The sequence below is a fragment of the Homo sapiens genome, chromosome 18 (genome assembly GCF_000001405.40).
Source record: "Homo sapiens chromosome 18, GRCh38.p14 Primary Assembly".
Taxonomy (NCBI): Eukaryota; Metazoa; Chordata; class Mammalia; order Primates; family Hominidae; genus Homo; species Homo sapiens.
The window spans coordinates 3,578,813-3,591,467 of NC_000018.10; the positions used below are offsets into that span (position 1 = coordinate 3,578,813).

The 12,655-nt window shown below is 46.5% G+C and overlaps 1 protein-coding gene and 1 pseudogene across 33 annotated transcripts in view, besides 1 other annotated feature; one reads left to right on the forward strand and one right to left on the reverse strand.

The window, feature by feature from the left end:
- DLGAP1 (DLG associated protein 1) overlaps nt 1–12,655 on the reverse strand; it is a 959,276-nt gene that overhangs the window by 82,781 nt on the left and 863,840 nt on the right. For 31 of the 33 annotated variants that reach the window (NM_001398527.1, NM_001398526.1, NM_004746.4 and 28 more), the window contains one exon: nt 3,063–3,436. In NM_001398527.1, coding sequence (NP_001385456.1) covers nt 3,063–3,436 — 374 coding nt within the window. The remainder of the gene's footprint in view (nt 1–3,062; nt 3,437–12,655) is intronic. The other 2 variants (NM_001242762.2, NM_001398546.1) reach the window with 1 other exon arrangement.
- Nucleotides 1,355–2,144, forward strand: LOC100419892 (zinc finger protein 592 pseudogene; annotated as a pseudogene).
- Nucleotides 8,126–8,295: an enhancer, noted in NCBI's record as "active region_13049". NCBI's record gives its function as "activates an Ori minimal core promoter by ATAC-STARR-seq in GM12878 lymphoblastoid cells {active_cell/tissue: GM12878}" and the evidence as "EXISTENCE:reporter gene assay evidence [ECO:0000049][PMID:35858748]".

Here is a 12,655-nt window from a genome sequence, read left to right on the forward strand (position 1 = left end):
ACACCTACGCCATAAGGTGGTTGGATGAGTCAAATGAGAGTCACATAAAGTACTCAGTACTTTGCTATAATTTACATAGCAGTGTACAATGATTAGAGGAAGAATAAGAACAATTTTTTTATTCACTAAAATATCCAACTATTTAAGACATGAGATAATGTCTCAAGTAAAAACTTTTCTCCCCAATGGTATACGTGGATTTAAGTCTAGTTCCATCCTACTGGGTGAAAATAATAATTATTATTATTATTCTGAAACTGTTTTAAAAAATCTAGCTTCCTGTGGAGGTTATAGTTTGGTGGGTGCATCATCACCACTAAACACACACAGTATAGTGATGGTCACACAACAATGTGAATGTCCTTAGTGCCACTGAACTGTAGGTGTAAAAATAGTTAAAACGGTCTTTCTTTTTGAGATGGAATTTTGCTCTTGTTGCCCCGACTTGTGTGCAATGGCATGATCTCGGCTCACCGCAACCTCCGTCTATCGGGTTCAAGGGATTCTCCTGCCTCAGTCTCCCAAGTAGCTGGGATCACAGGCATGCGCCACCACCCCCAGCTAATTTTGTATTTTTAGTAAAGATGGAGTTTCTCCATGTTGGTCAGGCTAGTCTCGAACTCCCGACCTCAGGTGACCCACCCGCCTTGGCCTCCCAAAGTGCTGGGATTACAGGCATGAGCTACTGTGCCTGGCCACGCCTGGCTTTTAAATTAGCCTTAGAGTGGGTTCAATGTGGATGGATTTATTCAACAGCAAATTGAGAAGTTATTATTCAAAGGGTACCCGCAGACTGATATAGCACAACAAAAATGGAGAGAGAGGATGATTTTTCTTCTTTGATAGAAGAACACTTTTAGCAGGGTAACCCAAGCTAAACAGATGTAAAAGAAACAAGGTGGAATCAGTTTGATCTTATCTTTGAAAAGCAGAAAAACAGTGAACTGAACTGAGAAGCCTACTGAGTTTTCTACCATTTTCATGAAATGCTTGATTAGGCTGAAACTAGTGCACATTCTTTCCTCATGATGCTGTGATGTGTGTTATTGCTTTCCACACTGTCAGTCACTTTGGTCTTGCTCGCCTTCACTCCCACATCTATGGGAAGTGATTCACATTTTTGTTCTCATATGGTCATTCAATAGTGTTGAACATACTGTTATGTGGCTCGATGACCCCGGCTATTCCTGCAAGTCCACTCTCTTTTCTAAAAATAGAAATGTGCGTTAGGAATTAAAAGCACCTCATGTTTGATTGTGTTCATGTTCTTTGAATTATCCTGCAGCTTGAGTCACACATTCAATTTAGAGAACAAAAATAATAGCTGCTAATAATGTCTACAAAGAAAATACTTTCAGAAACCCTGATTTGAGCCAGACGTCCAAAGTCAAACCTCCGGGTGGACATTCCCCTCAGGTGAACCATCTGAAAAGACCAGTCAGTGGAGTGGGGGACGCTCCAGGCACCAGCAATGGCGCAACTGTCTCTTCCACCAAAAGGCACAAGTCCCTTTTTCAGTGCGCGAAATGTAGTTTTGCCACAGACTCGGGGCTCGAATTTCAGAGCCACATACCTAAGCACCAGGTGGACAGCTCCACAGCCCAATGTCTCCTCTGTGGTTTGTGCTACACCTCTGCCAGCTCCCTCAGCCGCCACCTCTTCATTGTCCACAAGGTGAGAGACCAGGAGGAGGAGGAGGAAGAGGAGGCGGCGGCAGCGGAGATGGCAGTGGAGGTGGCAGAGCCAGAGGAGGGCTCCGGGGAGGAGGTGCCCATGGAGACTAGAGAGAATGGACTGGAAGAATGTGCCGGTGAGCCTTTGTCGGCTGACCCAGAGGCGAGGAGATTGCTGGGCCCGGCCCCTGAGGACGACGGTGGCCACAATGATCACAGTCAACCACAGGCCTCTCAGGACCAGGACAGCCACGCACCATCCCCTCAGGTGTGACCGGAGACTTTGCAGTGTGCATGGTCAGGGGTGGTGCCGAAGCGTCTTCCACCTGCCGTGCGGACCGTGGAAAATAAAAGGCTCTGCCCCCGGGGTGAGTGTGGCCGGTTGTACCCTGCAGTAGCGTCTGCCCTGAGCTGCCAGTGCTGGGTATCCCCCAGCCCCAGGAAATGTGGGGTCGGCCGGGACCCTCACAGCTCTGAATTTGCTTCTGTTATTTACGGCTTTTTGCTGCTTCTTGGTACCCCATCTCCTGTCTGTGTCCTTCCAACCCCAGGCTGCTTATGTGGCCCAACCCCAATGCTGTCAACTAGGCTTGAACCCCACAGCGGCTGTGCTCTTCTGGGAGGTTCCCGCTTGCTGCCTTCAGCCAGGGCGCTCCTCAGAGCCCTGTTTTCCTGCAGACACCAGCTCTCCTTCCTGCCTTTAGATCCTGAGAAGGAGGGAAATGAGGGGTGCTGACACAGTCCCTCTGGGAGAGCTCTGCCTAGTCTGGTTTGGTGAGGCCCTTGATCACCTTGGCCCTCCTCCCTGTCTTCTCTGATTCTTTTCCCTCAAAATAGTCCTGAGAACTAATTGTCACACTGGCTTATCATGTCTCTGTGGGTGAGGTGGGAGAAGCCTCTGCTGCACACCTCTGTTTGGAACCTGGGCAGAGCAGGAGGTAAGGCAAAGGCAGGCAGGCACCAAGAACCAGACCCCTTGAGAAGGCGCTGTGGGTGGGTCTTTGTTCTGCTGTTCTGCCTTTCCTGACAGGTGGGGTTGGGGCACACAGACATTGGAATATTTGTACTGCTCTCGTGCCATTTGAGAGGCTGCTGCCCCAGGCAGGCCAGCCCCTACTCCTCTTGGCTACACTCATGTTGCTCAGACTATATTTCAAATAAAAAAATCTTCTCACCATGAAAAAAAAAAAAAAAGAAAAGAAAATACTTTCATAATCTTGGTCACATTTAACAGTATACGGAGTCCACAGCCAATCACTTGAAAATCTGGTCCTATGCATAGATCTATGATTCCAAGCGGCAAGAAAGCAAATCTTCCGGGGAAACAAAAAGTGTTACATTCCTTAGTTTTAAGTTCCTATTTCAAAGGATAGAAAGGGAGGCTGTTACCTGTATCCCGATAGACAGGCATCGATTTTTCTTAAAGTGGTCCTTCTTCCTGTCCTCCGTGGTGACGGTGGCTATGGTAGTCGTGGTGGTGACGGTGGCAGTGTTATTGCCCATGTGTTGACTGGCAGGGCCATGGATCTGGGCGTTTGCAGCTTCGATGGCGGCTGTCAGAGCCTTCATACTGTCCAGGCTCTCGGTGGAGTTGCTGAGTCCAGACTGGCTGATAATATCTCCTCGCTGGCCCTGTCCGTCCATGTAGGCATCCTGGGCTGACTCTGTGCTACTCTGGGCTGTGATAGAAATGAAAGGTTTCGTGGTAGTTCTGGGTGGGACTGGAGGTGGTGTCTTCTTATATGTTGTAATGCAAGATGACACTGGAAGACAGTGAAAACAAAGACAATGTGATTTCTGCGTGGGTTTTAATTTCTGATATTGTAACTGACAGCCATTGGGAATTAGGGCACATGAAACACACTGAGACATTTAACAGGAAAACAAGTTCCATTGACAGGCTGAGACCCCTGCTCTCCGGAGGTGGTTTGGGTCTCCTCTGAGGTGACACCTCCACAAAACTGAGGGAGAAAAACACCGGGAAATATCAATCTCTGAAATGGAAGTTTCTAAAATGGAAATTAATATGAATCAACATAAACTAGATACGATTAGCCCTCTGTCGAAACCTTCCCAGCCAACAAATTGTATAGGCACATAGAAAAGGTGAGGGGAGTTTCTGTCTTCAGGGAAAAAACTAAATATAGCTAATATTAAACAGAGTAACTCATTAGAAGAGATTTTAGTGGTTGATAATAAATATGGAAAAAGAAAAAAGGAAGGCAAAGAGGTTGTGAGGATGCGTGTTCTGATCCTAATAACAAGGACGAGGTGTCTGGGGGAGAAGGGTACACACGCCATGGTAGCTGCTGCAACTTGTTTATCGAAGCCAGTTCCTTCCTTCCTTCTTTCCTCCCTCCCCCCTCCCTCCCTCCCTCCTTCCTTCCTTCTTTCCTTTCTTCCTCCCTGCTTTTCCTTTTTCCCTCCTTCCTGTAAAAATATTTTTAAAAAATAGAGAGGAGGTCTCTCTGTGTTGCCCAGGCTGGTCTTGAACTCTGGGCTCAAGAGATCCTCTCCCTTAGGCCTCCTTTCAAAGGACAGAAGAGGAAGCTGTTGCCTATATCCTGACAGACAGACACATAGAAGTGCTGGGATTACAAGCGTGAGCCACCGGGCCCGGCCACTTCCCACCTTTCTGTCTTTCTGCCTGACTGACCGACCTACCTACCTACCTACCTACCTACCTACCTACCTACCTACCTTCCTTCCTTCCTTCCTTCCTTCCTTCCCTCCTCCCTCCCTCCCTTTCTCTCTCTGTCCCTCTGTGTTTCCCCACCTCCTTCCCTTCTTTCCTTCCTTCCCTCCTTCAGTCTTTTTCTTTTCTCTGTCTACCTGTCTTGTCATCCTTCCTTTTCCTTCTCTCTCTCTCTCCGTCTCCCTCTTTCTTGTCTTTCCCCTTCCTCCTCCTCTCTGTCTTCCTTCTTCACTTCCACCTTGCCTATCTCTCTCTCTGTCTTTTTCTGGATAAACTCTCACTATATAAACTTCTTTTGTTTAATTTTTGCTTGTTTCTGAGCAGAACTACTCACTGAGAGTATTTACACTGTACAAAAGTCTCCTATTGTAGAAATTAATCCACATGCTAGCTTATAAATCAGTCTTCGTGGGTTTGGTCTGTATGAGTCACTCCCTAAAGTGTCTTTCTTTAGGGCAACTTGGTCAAGTCAAGGGCCTGAATCTGACTGGGTGTGGTGGCTCTCGCCTGTAATCCCAGCACTTTGGGAGGCCCAGGCGGGTGGATCACCTGAGGTCAGGAGTTTGAGACGAGCCTGGTCAACATGGTGAAACCTCATCTGTACTAAAAATACAAAAATTAGCCGGGTGTGGTGGTGCATGCCTGTAATCCCAGCCACTTGGGAGACTGAGGTAGCAGAATTGCTTGAACCTGGGGGGAGGAGGTTGCAGTGAGCTGAGATCGTGCCACTGCACTCCAGCCTAGGCCACAGAGCAAGATTCGGTCTAAAAAAAATGGTGGGGGCCTGAATCTAGGCTGCTGAGTACAATTTTGGACCCGTACAAGGGGGTCAAGGTCTATTTGGAGGCTCCCGACAGCAGCCTCAGCCCCTCCCTCTAGCCATTTGATTACAACGCTGAGGGTTTTGAAGAAGCTTTACACGTTGGCTTTCAGTTTCTCATTTGTAAAGCATGATTTAAGAAAATAAGGATCAAAAATGAATTAAGTTTCCAAGTGGGACTCCGGTCAGTGAAGCACAATTCCTTAAGCAGCTATTATAAATTCATTCAAATAATTATGCTTCCATCATTTCCTCCCCACCCCACCCCAGCCCACCCACTCTCACAGGTGGTGTCACTGTGGCTCCATCACATCAGCTAGACCTGGCCATGCAGTCCCAACTTGTTACCTACAGTTCCAGCTGCCAACTCAGGCCATCTCACTGAATGAAATACTTGCTTCAACATTGAAGATGTTTCCTCTGGCCACTCAGAGGAAACACCCTATAATGAACAATAAACAAAAGGACTCTATTATGCTGTCCTGCTGTTTCAGTGGCCTATGATTTGGAGTAATTTCCTTAACCATAAAATAGATGGAGACAATAATGTTTGGCTATTTCCCAGGGATTGCCTGAGTATTGGAGGAATAAATCAAGCAAATGTCTCATTACAATATCATATGGACTCTGGGATGGGGAAAGACAAGGTGCATGACATAGAGGCAGTCACCCCTCATTCCCTGGGTGGATGACTGGCAGAGGCCCAGCCCAGGAGAACTTCCCATCTATGTTGACTCATGAAACACACAACTTCATCTCTCTTTTTTTTAGAGATAGGGTCTCACTCTGTCATCAGGTTGGAAGGCAGTGGCACGATCATGGCTCACTGCAGCCTCGATCTCCTAGGCTCAAGCAATCCTCCCACTTCAATCTCTTGAGCAGCTGGGACTAACAGGTGTGCACCACCACATCCAGCTAATTTTTTATTTTTTGTAGAGATGGGGGTCTTGTTGTGTTGCCCAGGCTGGTCTTGAACCCCTGGCTTCAAGCGATCCTCCCATCTTGGCCTCTCAAAGTGCTGGGATTAGAGGCATTAGCCACTATGCCATGCCCGGCCCATCTTTATCATTTGAATGCAGCTCAACAATAAGTGTCGACTTCCTCATTTTTTAGCTAATGCACCTGACAGGAAATACGACTCAGGGAAAATACAGTGCTTGCAAGGTGCAGAGTCAGGAGCGAGCCAGCCAGCCTCAGGTTCTTCCCACTAGCCCACAGCTAAGCCTCTGGCTAAACAATGCCAGTGCATATACATTGTAAATATCTTGCCTCACTCAATTTAGTTTCTTGCATCCAAACCATGGTGGAGCTCTGGTTCCCAGAGAGGCATGAGTGATGGTAGTCCTGCTGGGAGTAACGCTCATCTCAGTGATTCAGCTGAAGACCCAGAGTGGGTGGGAGCCATAATTAGGATAGAACCTCTCCCTGCTAAAATTGAATGAAACTACAGCATTGTACCACTTCTCCTAAGACATGTCTTTACAACGTGAACTCACTATTTTGTTCAAAATGGATTCTCAGGACATTCCGCCCACTGATATTTCAAGAAGCTAAATAACATATTCCAACATCAAATGTCTGATCTTTTGGATTATGTATTGCTTCTTGTTAGCTCTCCTTGGTTTCTTCTTTTAGTGTGGATAATCCAAACTGGACAGTGAGGCCAGGCACAGTGGTTCACACCTGTCATCCCAGCGTTTTGGGAGACTATGGTGGGAGGACTGCTTGAGTCCAGGAGTTGCAGACCAGCCTGGGCAAGATAACGAGATCCCATCTCTACACAATTAGAAAACAAAACCAAACAGTCCCCCTCCAAAAAAAAGCTAGATAATTCAGCCAAATATGGAATCATTTGATTTGCTGTGACATACAGTAAAAATCCTGCCATGATGTGATAAGTGGGGGTGGGAGGGGCTAGTTCACATTGTTTCCAACGCATGACTGACCTTGGGGACTGAGCCTCCAGTGCGGCTCCTACACTCCCCAGGCCAACTGCAATTGGACGCCACCTGGTGGCTGTTGTCAGCTCATCTTCGCTATCGATAGGGATAACTCTGGATACCTTGCTCAACAGGGACATTGGCAGAGTTCCAGTAATGCTTGACATCTACCATGGTTAGACTGGACAGGGAGAATACTGGAGACATGGCTTCTCCAACAGGGTGGTCCAGCCCCCAACACCCAAAGAAGATAAGATTTTGAGATCCCCCCCAACTTCGAATAAGGGAGCTGAATGGAGGGCAGGAACCATCTCCCATGTTGTTATACGGAGGGACATTACTCATTATTATGAGGCTTAAGGAAAGGAACCATCTCCCATGTTGTTATACGGAGGGGCATTACTCATTATTATGAGACTTAAGGACAGGAACCATCTCCCATGCTGTTATGCTGAGGGACTTTACTCGTTATTATGAGGCTTCACTGCAGTGAGCGGCACTGTCCAGTCATGGGCTAGGAAGGTAAAAGGAATTCAAATCTTCATGACTGCTTTTTTTTTTTCAACTACAGACGGGATCTCACTGTGCTGTGTACGCTGGCCTTGAACTCCCAGATTTAAGAGATCCTCCCCCTCTGCCTGCTGAATAGGTGGCACAACGGGCGCATGCCACCATGCCCGGCTTAAGATTGCCATTTGAAGGAGAGGAAAGGGATTCAAATCACAACTCACACTTCCCCATAGTTCCCCTTCTTCATTTTCCAATTCTTCTGCACTCCAAAACTCATACAACGAAATCCTTCCATTTTCCCCAACATCCCCCTTTCCTAGATTTGCTAAGCCCTAAACCCACACTTCTCTCCTAAGGGTATTTTGTTTGTTGGTTGGTTGGTTTCAGTTCTACTCTCAGAATTCAGTGCCAGGAAAGATTTAGAACCCACTGAGAAGGTCTGAGCACCAGCAGGTGTGTGACACATAAGAGTGAGACTGAAGGAGGGTGAAACACCAGCCAATATGTTTGTCTTGCCTGGTCAAAACAGAAAGAGAAAATGAGAAAGAGAAAAAGAGAAAACGAGCAGTTTCTATACAGTAAGTGAAACATCTGATTTGTTTAAGAGTGACGTTCTCTTTTTATTTTGAGACGGAGTTTCGCTCTTGTCGCCCAGGTGCAATGGTGCAATCTCGGCTCACTGCAACCTCTGCCTCCCGGGTTCAAGCAATTCTCCTGCCTCAGCCTCTGGAGTAGGTGGGATTACAGGCCTGCGCCACCATGCCTGGCTAATTTTTGTGGGTTTAGTAGAGACAGAGTTTCACCATGTTGGCCAGGCTAGTCTCAAACCCCTGACCTCAGGTGATTCACCTGCCTCGGCCTCCCAAAGTGCTGGGATTACAGGCATGAGCCACCGCTCCCTGCAAGAATTGAGAGGTGAAGCCAGCTGGACTTCCTGGGTCGAGTGGGGACTTGGAGAACTTTTCTAGCTAAAGGATTGTAAACGCACCAATCAGCACCTGTGTCTAGCTAAAGGATTGTAAACGCACCAATCGGCACTCTGTAAAAACGGACCAATCAACACTCTGTAAAACGGATCAATCAGCAGGACGTGGGCGGGGACAAATAAGGGAATAAAAGTTGGCCACCCCAGCCAGCAGCAGCAATCCCGCTTGGGTCCCCTTCCATGCTGTGGAAGCTTTGTTCTTTCGCTCTTCACAATAAATCTTGCTGCTGCTCACTCTTTGGGTCCACACTACCTTTATGAGCTGTAACACTCATTGTGAGGGTCTGTGGCTTCATTCCTGAAGTCAGCGAGACCACTAACCCACCGGGAGGAACAAACAACTCCGCACACACCAGCTTTAAGAGCTGTAACACTCACCATGAGGGTCCGCGGCTTCATTCTTGAAGTCAGCAAGACCAGGAACCCACAAGAAGGAATAAATTCCAGACACAGAATGACGTTCTCAAAAACAATGATTTTTAAAATGTAAGTGGAACTTGAAAAAAGAAATGATGCTGTATTTTTTATCACCATTACTGCTTTCCTTTGCCCTGATAAGTTTTTTGTTCATTTCAAATGAAATTATTTTTTTCCTCATCTGGCTGAAAGGACTCTTATCCATTTATGAGAGAGTTGCAGAACTAGAGCTGCAGATTTCAGTGACATTTTCATTCAGTGGATACTGTAGTGCACAGAGAGACCAGAGGTTGGTATTTACATTTAAGAAGTTATATATTTTTGGGGCCGGGCGCTGTGGCTCACGCCTGTAATCCCAGAACTTTGGGAGGCTGAGGCGGCCAGATCACCTGAGGTTGGGAGTTCGAGACCAGCCTGAACAACATGGAGGAACCCCATCTCTACTAAAAATACAAAATTAGTCAGGCGTGGCAGCACATGCATCTAACCCCAGCTACTCGGGAGGCTGAGGCAGGAGAATCACTTGAACCTGGGAGGCGGAGGTTGCGGTGAGCCGAGATTGCGCCATTGCACTCCAGCCTGGGCAATAAGAATGAAACTCCGTCTCAAAAAAAAAAAAAGTTATATTTTTAAGAAAGACATTATACGGCAGAGTGCGGTGGCTCGCTCCTGTAATCCCAGCACTTTGGGATGCTGAGGCAGGTGGATCACAAGGTCAGGAGATCAAGACCATCCTGGCCAACATGTTGAAACCCCATCTCTACTAAAAATACAAAAATTAGCCAGGCGTGGTGGTGTGTGCCTGTATTCCCAGCTACTCAGGAGGCTGAGGCAGGAGAATTGCTTGAGCCCGGGAGGCGGAGGTTGCAGTGAGCCAAGATCGCGCCACTGCACTCCAGCCTGAGCGACAGAGCGAGACTCCATCTCAAAAAAAAAAAAAAGAAAAAAGAAAGAAAGACATTATAGAGAAAACAACACATTCCTATCATTTCAGCTTCGAGCTAGCTCATGATTGAATATTGCCTACATTTGTATGGAAAGATAATGCGGCCAGGCGCGGTGGCTTATGCCTGTAATCCTGGCACTTTAGGAGGCCAAGGCAGGGGATAATTTGAGGTCGCGAGTTCGAAACCAGCCTGGTCAACATGGTGAAACCCCGTCTCTACTAAAAATATATAAAAAAAAATTAACCCAGCGTGGTGGCAGGCGCCTGTAATCCCAGCTATTTGGGAGGCTGAGGCGGGAGAACTGCTTGAACCCAAGAGGCAGAGGTTGCAGTGAGCCAAGATCGTACCTCTGCACTCCAGCCTGGGCGACAGAATGAAACTCCGTCTGAAAAAAAGAAAAAAAAGAAAAAAAGAAAGTGTTGCAAGCTTCAGGAAGGCCTGGGCCAGAGATTATTTTATTCTGTAGTGGTGAAGATGTTCTGGCAAATTATCCAGACTCTCTTTCCACTCTGGTTATCCTTCAAGTTTAACAGCACACAAGTGTCAGGCGGCCACAAAACAGATGTGAGATCAAACTCCCTTTTTGTGCCTTTTTATTCATAAACCCTTACCAGCTAAGCGAATGGATCATACACCATAAGCTATGTAGAGCAACTATTTAGCAGTTCCTGATTACTGCATTTTAGAAATTCTTTAAAACATGAGAGAGCAAGTCCATAAGGAACCACAAATAAAAACACAATAAGACAAAGTAATTAAACTTATATATAAATTAAATTATATATAGATATATATGCAGATGTCCCAGAGTCAAGTAACATCTTTTTGATGTAAACATGTTGTTACCCCAAGGCGTTGTTATTAAGTGCAGCTATTATCAAGCAAGCTGTGATTTGATCATCCTTGAGAAGTGGCAGCGCCTACACAGAGCTCATGGGGAAAGCAACCTTGGATTTGCTGTGAGTTCTATCAGATGGTGTCATCTTACTGAGATGAAGACTACCAGAGAGAAGGGCTGCCTTGGTCCACTGTCTAAAATCTGCTGAGGGCAAAGTTCTCCCGATTTGGTCCAGGTGATCAGCAGTTGTTCAACAAGCCCTCAAAAAGAAGGCCTTTATTTCTTTATTTGAGACAGAGTTTCGCTCTTGTTGCCCAGGCTGGAGCGCAATGGCACCGTCTCGGCTCACTGCAACATCCACCTCCCAGGTTCAAGCAATTCTCCTGCTTCAGCCTCCTGAGTAGCTGGGATTACAGGCATGTGCCACCACACCAGGCTAATTTTTTTTATTTAATAGAGATGGGGTTTCACCATGTTGGTCAGGCTGGTCTCGAACTCCTGACCTCAGGTGATCCAGCTCCCTTAGCCTCCCAAAGTGTTGGGATTACACGTGTGAGTCACTGTGCCTGGCCAAAAGGGCTTTATTAAAAAGATTTTTAAAATCTAATGGGGTTGACAGAAGCGTGCTGGAACTGGCCCTTCTCAGCTTGCTAAGCTCGATTGTGCACATTTCTTTCTACCTCTGTATTCAGTCACTTTTCACTGTTAGCTTGAAATTGTTGACCTTGGTGTATTTACACCATGGAAATCAGCAAATGCCTGAAATCCAGGTTCCCCCCTGTGGATTTTCTTCAATCAGAGAGCCGGTTGTTAAGCATTTCCAACACCCCTGTGTGTACAGAGCAGGGTTATTCAAAGCCTGGTCTGCAGAGTGGTGCCCGTTTGCAAACTGTGTCACAGTGCAGGGTGACACATGCTATGAAAATTGAGTGTAGGGTCAGGTACGGTGGCCCACACCTGTAATCCCAGCACTCTGGGAGGTCGAGGCCAGTGGATCACCTGGGGTCAGGAGTTTGAGACCATCCTGGCGAACATGGTGAAACCCTGTCTCTACTAAAAATACAAAAATTAGCCGGGGGTGGTGGCACATGCCTGTAATCCCAGCTACTCAGGAGGCTGAAGCAGGAGAATTGCTTGAACCCGGGAGGTAGAGGTTGCAGTGAGCCGCAGAGGTTGTAGTGAGCCGAGACGGTGCCATTGCACTCCAGCCTGGGCAACAAGAATGAAACCCCGTCTAAAAAAAAAAACAAAGAAAATTGAATGTAAGTGTTTAGAAACTTTTATAGCAATTTTATAGAGTGTTTTACCTGTTGAATCTAAAAACAAAACAAAACAAAACAAAAATTATGGGTTTGTTTTTTGTATGTCTTAAAAAAAAAGTCCTCTTTCTAGTAATTCTTTTTTGTTGCATTTTACCAAAGCACTAATCTGCAGCAGATTGAGGGCAAACAAACAAACTGGTCCCTTACCAGAGATAGGCTGAGAAGCACTGAAAAGAACATTTGCAAATCCAGGGAACAGGGCAGAGGTAGTACAAGTGAGATTAAGAATATATTCAAGAGGTAACTTGAAGCCACAGGCTATTTTAGAAAACAAAATGATGTGAAGAGGCCAAAAGAAAAAAAAGAAACTTGGAAGGACCTAAACTGGGGACATAAATGTATTTCTATTGTAGAAATACAGAATGGGAACGATTGGACTTATGGTTGTAATGTCAGGTAAGGTGTCTATTTCAGGAAAGGCATGTAGGATTAGAAGTATGGACCTAGGCCTGTTGCGGTGGCTCATTCCTGTAATCCCAGCACTTTGAGAGGTCCAGGTGGGAGGATC